Here is an 18273-nt window from a genome sequence, read left to right as displayed (position 1 = left end):
GTGCAAGGCCCTGTGCTAGATGCTGGAGGAGCTATCAAAGTGCTTCCAATCAAATTGATTTAAGGAAGGCCATAGCTCTGATTATTGCTAGGGACTTAAGCCCACCCTTTAAATATGTTATGGCATCTGCTATATTTAGATGATTTTTAGATGGGGTCTTGCTAAGTTGCCCAGGCTGGTCTCAAACTCCTGGGCTCAAGCAATCCTCCCACCTCAGCCTCTCAAGTAGCTGGGACTAGAGGCATGCACCAACGTGCCTGGCTCTAGATAATTATTGTTTTATATTGTTTGACTTTTCTAGTAATCTACACCTGCTCATCATTCCTGGCTTACTCTCTATTTTCCAGTTTGTCTAGCTCTTTCATGACTTTGGATCAGTAGGTACATGATTCTTTCTGCCTGGAATATTCTTCTACATTCCACCTCCACTCCCCTTTTCAGTTATCTTCTATTCGTCTTTCAAGTCCTGGCTTAGGCCTCTGCTGTGGTTTGAATGTGCTCCCCAAATTTCATATATTGGAAATTTATTCCCCAAATTCATGTTGGTTGGAGGTAGGGCTTTGGGAGGTCATTAAGATTAGATAAGGTTATCAGGGTGGGGGCCCGTGATGGGACTGTTCAGGCTTTATAAAATGAGGAAGAGAAATATCTGAGCTGACATGCATGCTCTTTCTTTTCATCATGTGATGTTTTCTGCCACGTTATGATCCAGCAAGAAGGCCTTCGCCAAATGCTGGTATTATGCTCTTGGACTTCCCAGCCTCCAGAGCCATGAGCTAAATAAATTTCTTTTCTTTTTCTTTTTTCTTCATATTTTTAAAATTTCATTTTCTTTTTTTATTCTAATTTTTTTCTTTATAAATTACTCAATCTGTGGCATTCAGTCATAGCAAAATAAAACAGATGAAGACAGTATCTCTTTTTCTGGGATGGCTTCTACAACTAAATGTTCCCATCCTCACCCCCAACTGATGGGTTGGTCATCCCTCTAAATACCATAATAGCACCCTTCAAGGCCCTTCTTAGGGCTTCTTTCACACTTTACAACAGCATATTTTCTACATTTTCCACCATATTGTAAGTCCTATAAGGGTCAGTCTATTATTGTCCCTGAAAGAGTACAGTCAACACTCAGTGTCCATGGATTCTGCATCTACAGAGTTAAACAGCCACAGATAAAAAATGCGGTAGGCCTACAATGCTTGCATCTGTACTGAACATGTACGGGCCTTTTTTTGTCATTATTCCCTAAATAATACAGTATAACAAGTATTTACATAGCATTTACATTGTGTTTTATAATACAGGTATTATATTATTAAGTAATCTAGAGATGATTGAAAGTATACAGGAGGATATGCATGGGTTATATGCAAATACTGTGCTATTCTATATAAGGGACTTGAGCATTCACAAATTTTGGCATCTGTAGGGGGTCCTAGAACCAATCACCCACAGCTACTGAGGGATGACTGTACTTGGCTGATACATAGTAGACATTCAATACATATGTCTTCACTGGAGTTGACCTTTTGTCAATTACTCTAATAACTCATCACTCTTGAGAGAAGGATCATTTCATGTCCCTCATTTTACAAGTAGGAAAATATTGCCTGACAATTATTTATAAGAGCTGAAACATGCTACTGAGCATAAAATTCTATTTGCATCTTTTTTCTCCCTAAGAATTCTATGTTTTCACCTGCGACTTAGACTACTAGGTCATCAATCAGAAAACTCCAAGGAAGTTTCACTTACCTTAAAACTCATTTAGCTCTAATGGGGTTCTCACAGTTTTCATGACCTTTAAAGGAGATCAGAATTTGTAGGCACCAAAGAATCTCATGGGTTCCTGGATTCTTCAAAAGAAGATTTCAAACAAAGCACATTAAAGAGTGTATTAAATTGGCCGGGCGCGGTGGCTCACGCCTATAACCCCAGCACTTTAGGAGGCCGAGGTGGGCGGATCACCTGAGGTCAGGAGTTCGTGACCAGCCTGGCCAACCTGGTGAAACCCTGTCTCTACTAAAAATACAAAAATTAGCTAGGCGTGGTGGCACGTGTCTGTAATCCCAGCTACTTGGGAGGCTGAGGCAGGAGAATCTCTTGAACCCGGGAGGTGGAGGTTGCAGTGGGCCGAGATCACGCCATTGTACTCCAGTCTGGGGGACAAGAGCGAGACTTCGTCTCAAAAAAAGAAAAAAAAAAGAGTTGCTAAATTTTAGTTTTTAAAACTCCATGGATTGCTCCACTGGTATTAAGAAGGCCAGTACTATTAAGTAGGGGAGAGCACAAAGTTGCAACAAGGACTGCACATGATCTAGAATTCAGGTCTGTGGCCTTTCCGAGAAGTTGCACTAACATGGAGAAGCCAAAAAGGGTTTATGAACAGCTTCAGAGAAGAGAACATGGGTAATTACAGGCCCTTTGAGGACTGAGAGGTTGAGTCCCTTTTCCTCATCTCTGTTTGGATTGGCCAACAGTTCTGAGATGAACAAGGCTGAGTAACTAACGTATCAGAGGAATAGAAAGAAATGCAAATAAGTAAGGTGTTTTAGATGCTGAATCTCACCAATTCTACTTTGTAAGACTTATAGATAAAAAGAAAGCAAGGGGAAAATACTTTTGAAAAATAGGAAGTCTTTTGTTGCATAATATGTTTGCTGTCAGCTATGGCAAGTGACAGTCATGGGAGGTACCACAAGAGCTTTCATACACATTAGCTCATTTTGTCTTAAATAATCTTTACCACAACAAAGTGAGGCAAGCATTGTTATTATTCCCATGTAACTGATGGTGAATCTGAGGCTCAAAGCTCACAGTCAGTCTTCCACAGGACTGAAAACTGAACCTAGCTCTGTCTGTCATCTGCATGTGATTTGTATGACACCTGTAGACAGTGATTTTATTCAAATGTGTTAATTGTCTAAATTGATACAGTCCAGAAAGGAGAGGGCTGCTTGAAGAGAAATCTCTAAAAGCAGGTAGGTGTGGTCAACATTAAATTATATTTTCCCTTTTATTTTACTTATTTTATTTTATTATTTCTTTTTGAGGCAGAATCTTGCTCTGTTGCCCAGGCTGGGGTGTAGTGGTGCAATCTCAGCTCACTGCAACCTCTGTCTCCCAGGTTCAAGTAATTCTTCTGCCTCAGCCTCCTGAGTAGCTGGAATTACAGGTGCCCACCACCACAACTAGCTAATTTTTGTATTTTTAGTAGAGACGGGGTTTCACCATGTTGACCAGGCTGGTCTTGAACACCTGACCTCAAGTGATCACCCCTCCTTGGCCACCCAAAGTGCTGAGATTACAGGCGTGAGCCACAACGCCTGGCCTATTTTACTTATTTTTAAAAGCTATTTTTAATTCTACAAGTAACATAGAAATATGTGCTCATCATATAAAGTTCAGATATAGAACTTAAGGTCTACCTTTATTTCCCCCTCACCATCCAGAATTAACTAGGTGGATAGTTTGGAACATATCCATTCAAACATATCCTTTTATCAACAACTTGCATATATGTAGGTAAACATATAAAAATATATGCATATATGTATATACACACACAGTGTGGGAATGTTTGTGTTTTTAATGTAAAAATAAGATCAAACCATGGGTTATTCTGTAACTTGACATTTTCCCCTAATAAATAATATGTCTTTGAGTTCTTTCTGTGCCAGTACATTCTTTCTAGCTGTTTTTTTGTTTGTTTTTGTTTTTGTTTTTTTGATACAGAGTTTTGCTCTTGTTGCCCAGGCTGGAGTGCAATGGCGTCATCTCGACTCACTGCAGCCCCTGCCTCCCAGGTTCAAGCGATTCTCCTGCCTCAGCCTCCTGAGTAACTAGGATTATAGGCACCCGCCACAACACCCGGCTAATTTTTTTGTATTTTTAGTAGAGACAGGGTTTCACCATGTTGGCCAGGCTGGTCTGGAACTCCTGACCTCAGGTGATCCACCCGCCTCAGCCTCCCAAAGTGCTGGGATTGCAGGCATGAGCCACCGTGCCCAGCTTAGCTCTTCTTTCCATAGTGTTCCATAGTCATGATGTACAATAGGCTATTTAACCATTCTGCTATTTTCATTCTTAGATCAAGATATTTTCTACTATAGAATAGTTTTCTGTTTTTAGTTTTTCTGGTTTTGGTTTTTTGTTCTTGCTTGGTTTTCAAAACAGAGATAATACACTTTGGATTATCTTGTCTAATACCTGTATCTATGTCAGTAAGGTTTTAGGAAAGATAATCTCTCTCCCATTGGCTTCCCAAAAATATTTTTTGAAACATCTATGACTTATCTGAGAAATTAAAGAGAAGAATATCTGTAGCAAAGTATTATAATAATATATTTATCAGGCCAGGTGTAGTAGCTCACACCTATAATCCCAGCACTTAAGGAGGCTAAAGTGGGTGGATCACTTGAGGTTAGGAGTTTGAGAACAGCCTGGCCAACATGGTGAAACCTCATCTCTACTTAAAAGAAAAAAAAGCCTAGTGTGGTGGAAGGCACCTGTACTCCCAGCTACTCGGGAGGCTGAGGCACGAGAATCACCTGAACCCAGGAGGCAGAGGTTGCAGTGAGGCAAGATTGCACCACTGCACTCCAGCCTGGGTGACAGCGAGACTCTCCCTCAAAAAATACATATATTTATTAATTTATATTTCGTCTAAAATTCTAAAGATGAAAATAAGTAATTCCCTCTACTGAATAATGCTTTATTCCCTTGCTTACATATGAAGAACAAATATCAGTAACTAACTTTCATCTGATTGAGACTATGAATCACATAGCTAATCTGCTGGAAAGCTCAGAATCTGTGGCCCATCTCTATTTTACAAATATATAGGGCTTTGCCCTGTATGTTTTATTCCTGATTGCTTATTTTTCTAACCTCAACTTTCCCTTTTCTCCAATTTTCTCACATATATTTGTTGTTTTGCATGGTTTTTTGTTTTGTTTTTTTTTTTAGGAGGATTCTCACTCTGTCACCCAGGCTGGAGTCAGTGGTGCAATCTCAGTTCACTGCAAGCTCTGCCTCCCGGATTCATGCCATTCTCCTGTCTCAGCCTCCCAAGTAGCTGGGATTACAGGTGTCTGCCACCATGCTCAGCTAATTTTTGTATTTTTAGTAGAGATAGGGTTTTGCCATGTTGGCTGGAACTCCTGAGCTCAGGTGATCCACCTGTCTCGGCCTCCCAAAGTGTTGGGATTACAGGCGTGAGCCACCACACCTGGCCATTTCTGTTGTTTTAAACCATGCAGTGCAGCCCTAGGAAATGAATACACTGTTCCTCTATATCTTCTAAAGGTTTATAATTAATACCTGTCTCTCTCTCTCTCCTTCTTTTTTTTTTTTTTTTTTTTTTTGAGATGAGATATCAGTCTCACCCAGGCTGTGGCATGATCTCGGCTCACTGCAACCTTTGCCTCCCGGGTTCAAGCAATCCTCCCACCTCAGCCTCCTGAGCACCTGGGACTATAGGCACACCACCACGCCTGGGAAATTTTTGTTTTTGTTTTTTGTTTTGTTTTCGGTAGAGACAAGGTTTTGTCATGTTGCCCAGGCTGGTCACGAACTTCTAGGCTCCAGTGATCCTCCTGCCTCAGCCTCCCAAAGTGCTGGGATTACAGGCATGATCCACCTGGCCCAGAGGTTTATAATTTCTAACCTGAGAAGTACAGTCATATGAGTGATCAAAGTTTATAATTGTTAACCTCAGAAGCAGAGTAATATGAATAATCAAATGAAGGACTATTTGTGAGTTCTTACAGATGATTAAGAATTAGTATGAATCTGATGTTCTAAACTTTAGAAGTGAAGGAGTCACAAATGCAGGGCCATTGTTACTAATTTCTCATATTTAAAATATATGTTGCTGAATCTTGAAGATAAAATTTCTGAAGAATTTTGCTTTTCTACCATGCCATTTACATTTATTAATGGTATTATCCTAATGGCTATCTAGTATGGTTCAAGTAACCCAATGGGAGACCCACAAAAAGAATTTGGGAGCTTGTGAGTCTAGAATCATATATATGTATATATAATGATTATTATATGTATGATTATTATATATATATATATATTTTTTTTTTTTTTGAGATGGAGTTTCGCTCTTGTTGCCCAGGCTGGAGTGCAGTAGCATGATCTCGGCTCACTGCAACCTCTGCCTCCTGGGTTCATGTGATTCTCCTGCCTCAGTCTCCCGAGCAGCTGGGATTACAAGCACGCACCACCGCGACCAGTTAATTTTGTATTTTTAGTAGAGATGGGGTTTCACCATGTTGGGCAGGCTGGTCTCGAACTCCTGACCTTGTGATCCACCCGCCTTGGCCTCCCAAAGTGCTGGGATTACAGGCGTGAGCCACCGTACCCGGCCTAGAATCATATTTTATTCAAGCTGAAACTTTAAATGAGTTGCTGACTTATGATGTAAGGATAAACATACTTTTTTAAGCAGCAGTTGCAAAAACAGTAAATCAATTCTGCTGTTCAGTCTTTTAAATGCTCAGCAAATTACTGACAGTTACATTAGTGGAAATAAATCCTTATTGGAACAAAGCTTCTCTTTTCTTTCCTTTTTAACTTATATATGACAATACACATACGCAAGGTGCTGCCTCTAAGTCTTGCTCAGCACCATATTATGATTATCAATTACTTTTTATTGAAGGCTCATATGAGTCTGTGAACAAATATGTACTTTCAACTTACCTGTGGAGGTAGGAAAAAATCCTAGAGCGCAGAAGTCATTAAATACATCTACAATGGGTGCATAATGTGGGCCTCACAGCAGCCAATAGCTATGGCCCAACTCACTTTTCTATAATGAAAGGGCAGGAAGATGGCCAAATCTGTCTGATATAAACAAGCTGATGAGGATTTTGTGGCTGCCTCCACAGAGTATGCATCAATGTTGTATTGATTTATACTTTCTTTCATTTGAATATATACCTTCACCACCACTGACCTTTATTTCCAAAAGGAATAGAAAACATTTTTATAGGGTTTTGGTAAGTATGGTTTTGTGGATAGGCCTCTTATAAATCTTTAAATAAATGCATTTCATAATTCTAAATTTTAAGTGTAATTTCAGTTAAAAATAAAAACACAATAGCACTAGACAATAAATATTTGTTGAATGAATAAATGGAAGGATTAATGACTTTATTCATCATGAATCCCTACGTTATTTCTGCCCACCTTGCTTCCTTTGGATTGTAATTTGATTTTGTTTATTGATCTGTCTGTAGGGAGAGAATGACCCCATGGTAGTGATGCAGCTATAGTGGCATTACAATTATATTCCTCATAGGAATTTAAAAGTTAGCATTTTGGTTTTATTTATAGACACCACTAGACTGTGAATGCTTCACTGTAGAGCCTAGCACAGTGCCTGAAATGTCCAGCGAATGTTCCCTGCTTCAGTCTAGGTTGTTGTTTCATTTGGTCAGGGCATCAGATAAAACACTCTCATCTTTAAAAACCAGATAAGTAGTAATCCTAAAAATAAAAAGTGAAATAAAATTTAAGTTGTGGTGGATGGCTTATCGAACACGAGATACAGCAGATGGGGGCATGGTTATGTCTGCCCTCTTTCTTTCATTCTAAATAGGGGTCTTCCATCATACACTTTGGATGAAGCTATTTCAAGTGCAGGTGTGGGATGTTGGCTCAGGATAAATTACTTGGCATCAAGCATTCCCTAATGTTACAAACGTGAAGACAGGTTAAAATGAACAACATGGTGGCTTGTGCCTGTAATACTAGCTACTGGGGAGGCTGCAGCAGGAGGATTACTTGAGGCCAGGAGTTCAAGGCTGCAGTGAGCTAGGATTGGCCTACTATACTTCACCCGGGCAACAGCAAGACCCTATCTCTAAAATAATAAAATGAATAACAGGGACAAACTTTAAGAAAAGAAGAAAAGGGAAAGACAGCACACAATTGCACGAAAACATCTTTGAGACGCGGGAGGAGATGGCCGTTGTTACCAGATAGCTCTTGCCATATGCCTAATGGGGACAGGAAGGTGGTAGGATACACAGACGAGCTGTTTTAGTCTTTTGTAGTACAAACCAACTGGCTTACCTTTTTTTTTTTCTGCACACCAATAACTCCGTCAGGCTTGATTCCACATGCACCTGTTTCTTGCGGCAGCATGGCCCAGTAATGCCAGAAGTCTGAATCAATCACACTTATTTGCCTTATGTGAAAGAGGCCTTGTCTTGCGTAATTATTAAAATACAATGGAATGCTTTACATAGAGCCATGGAAGTTCAGATAATGCTGTGTCCATTGTACACACTAATGATGTAGAGTGGTGAGGAGCCACCTGACACCTATTCTGGCAGGTGGGGACTAGAATAGATGCCCCAACCCATCTCCCTCTGGTCAGGATCATATTACCTGAGAAGATGATCTAGAAAACAAAAGGAGAGCAGGAACAGGAGGCATTAGATAAAACATGACTTTTTAAAGCAGAAAAGTTGAGAAAAACAACATCATGACCTTTGCCTTGCTATGATGGCTAGGGAGTAAAAAGGAAATAAACACATGCAGTCACATGAAGTTAGATATTGTGCTCTCAAATATCTTCTGAGCACTGTCAGCCTGGGACCCAGTATATGGGTCTGCCATAGCCCAAGCTCACTTCCAAGGGGCAGAAGCAATCTCAGCCCACAAATGTTGATTGACATCTCCCCTCAACAAGGTCTAGACCAAGCTTGCCCAACCTGCAGCCCATGGGCCATATGCAGCCCAGGATGGCTTTGAATGTGGCCCAACACAAATTCATAAACTTTCTTAAAACAGTACGAGATTTTTTCGTGATTTTTTAAGCTCATCAGCTATCATCAGTGTTAGTGTATTTTATGTGTGACCCAAGACAATTCTTCTTCTTCCGATGTGGCCCAGGAAAGCCAAAAGATTACACACACCTGGCTCTAGACCAAGATAACCAGGTCAGCAGAGAATCTAGGATTCCCTTCTTCTGCCACCTGGGTTGTGTTGAGAATCAACATTTCCTTCAAAAATGATCACTCTACCTAAAAGGAGTGTGGCATTTCCCCAGTGAACCACAAGAGGATAATCTTCTCAAAATAACCAAATAAGCACACTTAAAAGTAATAGAAACATTCATTCAATGCAAAGCAGAAAGTACTTTTTTTTTTTTTCCAAGACGGAGTCTCGCTCTGTAGCCCAGGCTGGAGTGCAGTGGCGTGATCTCGGCTCACTACAAGCTCCGCCTCCCGGGTTCACGCCATTCTCCTGCCTCAGCCTCCCGAGTGGCTGGGACTACAGGTGCCCGCCACCACGTCCAGCTAATTTTTTGTATTTTTTTTTAGTAGAGACAGGATTTCACCATGTTAGCCAGGATGGTCTCGATCTCCTGACCTCGTGATCTGCCCGCCTTGGCCTCCCAAAATGCGGGGATTACAGGCGTGAGCCACCGCGCCCGGCCTTAGTACTTCTTTTTTTTTTTTTTTTTTTTTTTTTTTTTTTTTTTAACAGAGGATAATGTTAACGGAAATTGTGTAGTCAAGAGTTAAAATCTGGCCAAAATAATCTGACCAGATAGTTATATAGTTAGGCTACATTCTATCAAGAAACATAAAGGAATAGAGATATTTTAAATGTTGTGATATTCCTTATTTATAATCCCCTTCATAGTACTTTTCATACTGTACTATAATATAATGTATCTGTTTACTTGTCTGTATCCCCCTCTAGGCTGTAAGTTCCTTGAAGAAAGAAAGAACTCTCTCCCATTCTCTCTTATAGTAGAAGTTAGCATAGAGGTGCCTGGCATATAGGTGGCCAGACACCTATTCAAACCCTGTAGAATGAATGCTTTTACAGCTAGTAAACAGACCAAAGCCCATACCCAATATCATATGCTGCATATTGTCAATAGAAATACTGGAGGAGCAACTGGGAAGCAGGCACTCAGAAATTTTTTTTGAGTGGTAAAGAGGGTCCTGATCTTAGATGCTTTCAGTCAGAGCTGCAGTATACAGTTGGATAGGTTGTTCACTGCACAAGGTTAACCAGCTAAGGGCACTAATTGGGGCAGAAAATCCAGCCTGTATTCTACTTGACAAGCCATCAACTCCAACACCGCTCTGTATCTGCCCACAGGAAGCAATGCCTTTTTTCAAATTCCTACAAAGGCCCTGTACAAACTTCAGATAGTCTTGATTTAAATAATGACAGAGTAATAATGTCTGACAGGTTACATCTCAGGAGCAAGAAAAATTGCCCTACCAATCTGATTCCACCAGAGAGTAAAAGAAATAGTGAAGACTGTCTATTCTTAAAATGAAAACACTGAGGTTGGAGATGGTTTTTCTCTGGATTCTCAACATAGGGTGATGTGCTTACAAAATAATTTTTTTTAAATAAAAAAGACCCACATAAGGGAGCCTCTGTATTCAACTTGATCCCAGAATATGAGTTACAGAATCAGAGATGCATAAAAATCTGGAAGAAACCTTAAAGTTCATAGAATTCCATTGCTAGAAGGAACTTTAGATATCATCTGGTCCAAGAATCTTAATTTTACAGATGAGGAAACCAAAAAGATCAGGAAGATTATGTGATTTGCCTGTGGATGGTTAGCAAAGCTAAATCTAGAACCTGGTTGTTTTCTACCTCTCAATCGAACACTCTTTACCACAGCTGGTTGGACTTGACATCATTATAATCAACTAAGACTGATTGCGCACCCACTGTGTGGGAGAGGCTGACATGGACTTGGTTTCCATCAAGGGCCTAGCAATGAGGTTGAGAAAACAGGAAATCCAAGCATCAAAAGATAAGTAATAATATGAGATGGCATATGAAGCAAGGTTTAGATTCCAGTTTCCCAGTGGGAGTGGTGACACCAAGGTGAGTGATGGGTGTGGGGTGGAGTGCCCTCGTATCCACCCACCTATGCGTCCTGGTTCTGTCTGGAGGCACCAGGGCCAGGTGACAAAACGTCCAGGCGAGGCCGCAGTAGGGCCTAAGGTCAAAAAGAGCAATGCTGAATCCTACATCCTGGGGCCCTCCTAACACGTAGCTTAAGGCTCTGGGCTCATGACCCACATTGTAAGGATGAGTGGGGTAAAGCCTATCCACATCTGGGCTGTGAATTCCAGAAGCGGGGGACCGAGGCAGCTGTGCATGAAGACCGCAAGGAAGGAGGAAGGGAGCCGAGGAGGCCCAAGAGCGGCGGGCGACCTGACACCACCCTGCCCTCCCAGCCAGAGGGGCAGGGGGGAACCCCGCGCGCGGCGCCGGTGCAGCCCGGGCTTCCGGGGCGGCGCACGCGGCCGGGGGGCGGGGCGGGGGCCGAAGCACCGCCTACGTCGGGCTGCGTGACAATGGGGCCGGCGGCAGAACGCAGCTGCGGCGGCTGCGGGTCTCGTGGGGGCGGAGCGGTCGCCGCTGCCGCCGCAGCTCGGGTCGGGATTTGAAAGATTAGAAACTTCGGGTGGAGAGGGCGGCGGCGTTGAATGTGTGGCGGAAGCGCTGGGGGTCACGGCTCCGCGCGCCGCCGGACAGCCGGCGGCGTCTCCACAGCATGAATTACCCGGGCCGCGGGTCCCCACGGAGCCCCGAGCATAACGGCCGAGGCGGCGGCGGCGGCGCCTGGGAGCTGGGCTCAGACGCGAGGCCAGCGTTCGGCGGCGGCGTCTGCTGCTTCGAGCACCTGCCCGGCGGGGACCCGGACGACGGCGACGTGCCCCTGGCCCTGCTGCGCGGGGAACCCGGGCTGCATTTGGCGCCGGGCACCGACGACCACAACCACCACCTCGCGCTGGACCCCTGCCTCAGTGACGAGAACTATGACTTCAGCTCCGCCGAGTCGGGCTCCTCGCTGCGCTACTACAGCGAGGGTGAGAGCGGCGGCGGCGGCAGCTCCTTGTCGCTGCACCCGCCGCAGCAGCCTCCGCTGGTCCCGACGAACTCGGGGGGCGGCGGCGCGACAGGAGGGTCCCCCGGGGAAAGGAAACGTACCCGGCTTGGCGGCCCGGCGGCCCGGCACCGCTATGAGGTAGTGACGGAGCTGGGCCCGGAGGAGGTACGCTGGTTCTACAAGGAGGACAAGAAGACCTGGAAGCCCTTCATCGGCTACGACTCGCTCCGCATCGAGCTCGCCTTCCGGACCCTGCTGCAGACCACGGGTGCCCGGCCCCAGGGCGGGGACCGGGACGGCGACCATGTGTGCTCCCCCACGGGCCCAGCCTCCAGTTCCGGAGAAGATGACGATGAGGACCGCGCCTGCGGCTTCTGCCAGAGTACGACGGGGCACGAGCCGGAGATGGTGGAGCTTGTGAACATCGAGCCTGTGTGCGTGCGGGGCGGCCTCTACGAGGTGGATGTGACCCAAGGAGAGTGCTACCCGGTGTACTGGAACCGTGAGTAGCGGGCCGGGGTTAGGGCAGGACGGGCTGCCCCTGCATGGGCCGATGCGCACCGGTGTGGGTTTGGGACTGGTCGCCGCGAAGAGGGAGGCGCGTGAGGCCTGGCGTTTGGCTGGGGCAGGATGGAGATTGAGCAGGGAGCGTCGGCAGCTGAAGGGTAAACGAGCAGATGGCAAAACCCAAGCTGCCTGGGGTCAGGAGGACTGGATACCTTCGGGGGTAGCGCCTCCTGGGTGAGCCGGGTGCTGCTGCCATCCCCTGGAAGTGATCCAGGACCGGATCCGCAGCCCGAGGTTTAATTTCGTGATCCTACCAGCTTTGTCCACCTGGGGATCTGGTTCTGTCTCATTTACCCTAAACAGCCTATGATTTAAATAGCGGCACGTCTTCTGGAGTAGGAAGGTTTGAGAGGATCTGCTCGAGAATCAACAGCTTAGTTATGGGTTCAGGAAAAGTAAAAGAATCCCTGGAGGGAAAGGAGATAGGTTGTTCCCACTGGGTGTGTTCGGAGAGGTGGAAAGCACTGCGTGAAGCAGCTCTGGCAAGTGGCTCCGCTCCCTCGGTGGAATACTGGATTCTGTCTCTTAGGTCCTCATTTACATATTTTTGTGTTTGCATCTTAACCTTGAAAAATTACCATTTCTATGCCTCGTCTTCCTCATTTGTAAAAGGGGAGAAATTGTACCTACCTCACGGGATTGTTGTGAAAGTAAATTAGAAAATATACTTCAAGGGCTTGGAACTATGGTTGGTACTTACGTGTGATATGAGTGTTAACAGTATTTATTAGACAACAACACAGACGGGTTTATAGTTAGAATAGGAGGAAGGTGACCGTAAATATCTGCCAGTGCATGCAGCAAATATTACGTATGTAATATATAGGAGATATTCAATAGTCACAGAAGTTACTGACCACCAGTATTATAATATGTAATATACACTTTTAATTTTCGTGGGCCCAATGCCCTAACTTAGATGTCTTCATTGATTGTGACAACCTTTAGATCCTCCATACAACACTCTGCCCTCTATTAGATGGATTGATGACAGCTTCCTTTCTGTATGTTAGGACCTTACCATCGGCAGAGCCCGTCACCTTTATCTTTGTACTCTGATAGGGCCTAGTGCAATATATATTCAATAACTAGGTATTGAATTGCATCAGTGATTCTGATAATGTTAAAACATTCATATGTTAAGCATGACTTACTAAGATAGCAATTCCAACATGTGTCAAATCACCAAATAAAATAATAGCAGGAAATTTAATTTCTTACTGCACATTAAGATGATACTAAAGGCATTCATTACCATTTTTATAAGGTCAGATTTAGTGAGATCTGTTACATCATTCACTTTTTTAGATTATATACTCACTAAAGGCAGGGTATGTTTATATTCATTCAGTTCTTTCATATTCAGAATATTTATATGTGCATAACGGTACTCTTGTGAAGGCATTAAGAAAGATGGGGAAAAGGAAAATCCTTACCCTTTCAGAGCTTCCCACTCGGTGTTTCCTTCAAATGACTTAAACATAATCATAGATTTTTTTTCCTGAAGATAGAAGTACCAAGACTTAGTGGAGTCAGAAAGTTGGATAAAAATACAGGGTATCCTTGGAGAGGGGACGGAAACCAAGAGATGAATCTTACCCTTAGATTAAACTGAAGTATATTCACCAAGAATACTGTGTGCTCTCTTGGTTTTTGATAAAATTGTTAATGCCTGCGTGGTACTTCACTGTTTACAAAGTGATTTTTGACATTGATTATTTTACAGTGATAGCAAATTAATACCAACATTATATACATGAAGAAATGGGCTCAGCGAAATTAATGAACTTGTCCAAGGCCACTTAGCTAGAAAGTGATGAAGCAGTTCATTCATTAGTCTAGTGGGGGAATACAGTGCAGTATGCAAAGAGCTTCTGACCCATCCAAGGGTGAGGGTATCAGGAAAGCGTCCCAGAAAATTTAAGACAGAGTCTTACAGGATGAATTTAATGAAGCAGAGAAATAGAGGGAAGGGCATTCCAGCTAGATGGGGCACATACACAAGGACACAGGTCTGAAACTGCGTGGCATTTTAAGGAAGTGAGGTCTACACCTGCAGGCACTGTGACACATGAGGTGGGTTTGGGCTTTGACCAACCACAGAGACCAAAGTATGTGAGGGATGGTGTTTGGTCAGGGACAGGATGGAGATTGTGAAGGGAGCACCTGCACATGAATGGCGCATTTGGGACAATAGCTGGAAAAGAGACAGGGTAGATATGCAGTGCTAAGGAGTTTGGCCTTTATCCTGCGAGTAATGAGGAACCAAACAGTAGAAGGTTCTTTATACTTACATGTGATTAATGACAATGCAAAAGTTGAGCTGGAGAGTTGGAAGCAGAATATCAGTAGAATGCTAGTGTCATAAATCAGGTGAAAACTGGTGGGAGCCTACAGAAGTTAACCTAAAGGTAATGTGGACTTCCCTTTCTCCAACCTTCTTTCCTAAAGCAAATAGCCATTAGGCCAATTATAGCTTATAACTAGCATAAGAGCAACACCTATTTTTATCTATATTTTAGCATTTTCTAAATAGTTCTCTACAAGATACAATCCTGTGGATGTCCAAGCCCTTGTATAAGCTATAATAAAAACACAGTAGTGCTTTTTGTCTATCCTGTAATTTGCCATTTCTCACAAAATCTCATATAACTTTAATTGGTTTCTTAAGTCTCTGTGTGTAAGTTTTCACACTTTCTAGGAGGGTCCAGTCCCCGTATGGGTTCTTCAGCCTTTCTTCAAATAGAAAAACTCATACTATACGTTGCAGCTTTTGACCTTGCCCCCATTTTACTTTTCCTTTTTAGCTGTTTTGGAAACTGTCTGGTTAGTGGTAATAAAAGTGTTTGAAAAAAAATGTCCAGTAAGTTCCTATGTAGAATGGTGGTATGAATCCATTGGCCATTTAGATTTTTGTGGCCTAATTTAGCCCACTGCATCTGGGTGTCAAGGCCAACAAGTTAGCTATACCTATTCTAAAAGAAAGATTTTATTTTATTCTTCCTTTTGAACTTGACTAGCAGATAAAATTTGAACTAATTTGGGGTACATGAATCAGAAAGGAGAACAGAATTTGTCTTCTATTAATGAGGAGCAATATTATTACATATGAAAAAATATCGTAGTAAACATTTTTGTTTTATTGTATGTTTAGATATTCTCCTGGCTGCATGTGGACATTTTAGATAAAAACTAATCATTGCTGAGTAATGGTTAAGTGAACTCTCTTGTTTGCAGTGTTCTTCCTGTTTGTACTCACTTCATAGACTTGTTTTGAGGATTATTATATGTAACATCCTTATTACAGTGGTTGGCACATTGTACTAGGTGTTAACTATATGTGGGTCTCACAAAAACTATACACCTTATTTTTAGTTCACATACAGGTTAGTAAGGTTAACCAGTGCACAGTTGTTGAGTGCCCACAATTTCTTGTTATTACTCAGTACCTCATCAGAGGTGAAAGAATGTCTGTAAGGAACATTGGCAAGAAAGTGGCCAAAGCATTCAGTAATAGCAGATGGGAAGGCATATGGAACATTCTAGAGATATTTCATGAGCTTAGAATAATTCAGCAATTCTAGGCCAGGCGTGGTGGCTCATGCCTGTAATCCCAGCACTTTGGGAGGCTGAGGTGGGTGGATCACCTGAGATCAGGAGTTCGAGACCAGCCTGGCCAACATGGTGAAACCCTGTCTCTCCTAAAAGTACAAAAATTAGCCAGGCGTGGTGGCGAGTGTCTGTAATCCCAGCTATTCAGGAGGCTGAGGCAGGAGAATCACTTGAACCCAGGAGGCAGTGGTTGCAGTGAGGCGAAATTGTGACACTGCACTCCAGCCTGGGCGACAAGAGCAAGACTCCCTCTCAAAAAAAAAAAAAGAATAATTCAATTCCAATGGCAGTGATGTGTGCAGTTTGCACTAGGGAGTTGTGTGATTTCTATTCATTGACTAAACTAATAAAGTTATTTAATTGACCAAATTTTTATATGTAGTTTCCAGGAGTCTTAACTATAAACCACAGATTTCTTCTTTCCCCTCTGTCACCCACCACCTTCTGGTATACTTATACAGCCTACTTGCATTATTGTAATTTTAAACCATTTTCAGTTTCAGATGCTTTAGAAATAGACCAGTTGTTTTTGTGGTATATTGCAACAACGGGAAGATTATATTACCAATAAAATGAGATTAAAAAATTAGAGCTTTTCCCTTAATTACATAATGTTTACAAACTTGGTGTAGATGTGACCGTGTTATTCATAATAACAATCCTTTGTGTGGCACAGGGCATCATGGGAAAATAATGGAGTCCCAGGGGGTAGAAGGCACTCTTTTTTGACCAGTTTCTGTCTCCAATAAAGCAGGACTATAGGGATCGTGCCTGACCCTGAAAAAGTGTTGGAGACTTTTATCTTTTACTCTTTATAACTGTGTTATTTCCCACTAGCCTGGACTGGAAAGCAGCCTTGGACTGCATTGGAACCCTGACTGCTCGGTTTACAGTACCAAGGCCCCAGTTTTCTGAGAACCCACCTCATCCTAGATCAAGTCTGCTTTAGAGTGCATTTTAGAATGCACAGTGACCTGCTAAAACAGAAAAAGGATGTGAATGGATAGTGACATGTATGGATGGCAGGACTTGGCACCTGACCATGGCATTTGGGGCTTCTCTTTCCCTTTGAAATGCACCATTACTTTAAAAACGGATCTAATATCAGTTATTGATTCACCTTACGTATGGCCAAAATGTTATAATGCATGTTTTGCAAGTGCTTTATGCAAATGCTTAGAGCAATCAGTGTGGTTTTCTTACCCCTGTCAACCACCTCTGGTTTTCTTTCCTCTTTTACTGTTTTCTTATAAAAGAGACCTTGAGTATGCTTCTCTCTTCTGAATTGTATTTTGGGTCTTTTATCTCCATATAACTCTTTATAGTTTGTATTTTGCTGAGAACTTTGATGTCTGGAACCTACAGTTGATCCTTTTTTGTGGAGAGCAAGAAAAATCTGGATGTGCTGGTCAAGGAATCCTCTGAGAATTATGGACACTGGGGGAGGAAAGTGTATGTCAGGGAGGAGAACTAGAAGGAGAATGTATTATTCACAGGAAGCCTAAGATGAAAAATATTGGCAAAAGAGATTGGGAAATAGGTAGTTATGGAATTCCTAATAACTAGGGAATCTGACCTAAGACCTTTGTTTTTTCGTGAGTGTAGTGGAATTTAAACTGTGCATGTTATACAAAAAAAAAAAAAAAAAAAAACTGTCAGCATTGATGAAGGGTACAGATATACAGAGTCCCTTCTGTTTTTCCACAATACACTCTAAAAGTTCAGTTAAAAAGTAGAACAAGGAAAAATTTTTTTATAGTTACTGTATATAATCTACAGTTCTACTCTTTTGCGTCTACATTGGTAAAGAAAAATCGTACCCATAACAAGTGTTGAATCACTGACAATTGAGTAGATTACTAGGAAGAAAACCACAATGCAGATACTTTCTGATACTCCTAGATTAGGAGACAAGTGAAATTCAAGGTGGTAAAAAATTGGAACTTGCCTGTACCAGAGAACTGAAGAAAAACAGTAGCAAAATTGATATGATTGTGTAAAAGTAATTATATTTTATGTACGCTTTTTAGCATCAACAGATTGTGAACAAGATTGAATTATACATTCATTAATTTTTTTTTTTTTTTTGAGATGCTCTGTTGCCCTGGATGAAGTACAGTAGTGTGATCTCAGCTCACTGCAACCTCTGCCTCCCAGGTTCAAGCGATTCTCCTGCTTCAGCCTCCCTA

The 18273-nt window shown here is 42.5% G+C and overlaps 1 protein-coding gene and 1 long non-coding RNA gene across 11 annotated transcripts in view, besides 3 other annotated features; one reads left to right on the top strand and one right to left on the bottom strand.

The window, feature by feature from the left end:
- Window positions 7140-11314, bottom strand: DDHD1-DT (DDHD1 divergent transcript). Its single transcript, NR_110062.1, has 3 exons — window positions 10937-11314; window positions 8095-8425; window positions 7140-7506 (listed from the first exon to the last, which is right to left on the bottom strand). It is a non-coding gene; the product is annotated as a DDHD1 divergent transcript (long non-coding RNA).
- Window positions 11170-11499: a silencer, noted in NCBI's record as "silent region_5752". NCBI's record gives its function as "represses an Ori minimal core promoter by ATAC-STARR-seq in GM12878 lymphoblastoid cells {active_cell/tissue: GM12878}" and the evidence as "EXISTENCE:reporter gene assay evidence [ECO:0000049][PMID:35858748]".
- Window positions 11345-18273, top strand: part of DDHD1 (DDHD domain containing 1) — a 116569-nt gene continuing 109640 nt past the window's right edge. For all 10 annotated transcript variants that reach the window (XM_017021669.2, XM_005268105.3, NM_030637.3 and 7 more), the window contains exon 1: window positions 11345-12407. In XM_017021669.2, coding sequence (XP_016877158.1) covers window positions 11570-12407 — 838 coding nt within the window. In that variant the 5' untranslated portion in view covers window positions 11345-11569. The remainder of the gene's footprint in view (window positions 12408-18273) is intronic.
- Window positions 12320-12519: an enhancer, noted in NCBI's record as "active region_8401". NCBI's record gives its function as "activates an Ori minimal core promoter by ATAC-STARR-seq in GM12878 lymphoblastoid cells {active_cell/tissue: GM12878}" and the evidence as "EXISTENCE:reporter gene assay evidence [ECO:0000049][PMID:35858748]".
- Window positions 12540-12589: an enhancer, noted in NCBI's record as "active region_8400". NCBI's record gives its function as "activates an Ori minimal core promoter by ATAC-STARR-seq in GM12878 lymphoblastoid cells {active_cell/tissue: GM12878}" and the evidence as "EXISTENCE:reporter gene assay evidence [ECO:0000049][PMID:35858748]".

Source organism: Homo sapiens, chromosome 14 (genome assembly GCF_000001405.40).
Source record: "Homo sapiens chromosome 14, GRCh38.p14 Primary Assembly".
NCBI lineage: Eukaryota > Metazoa > Chordata > Mammalia > Primates > Hominidae > Homo > Homo sapiens.
The sequence above is the reverse complement of the archived record's forward strand: the minus strand, read 5'-3'. Positions and strand labels throughout refer to the sequence as shown.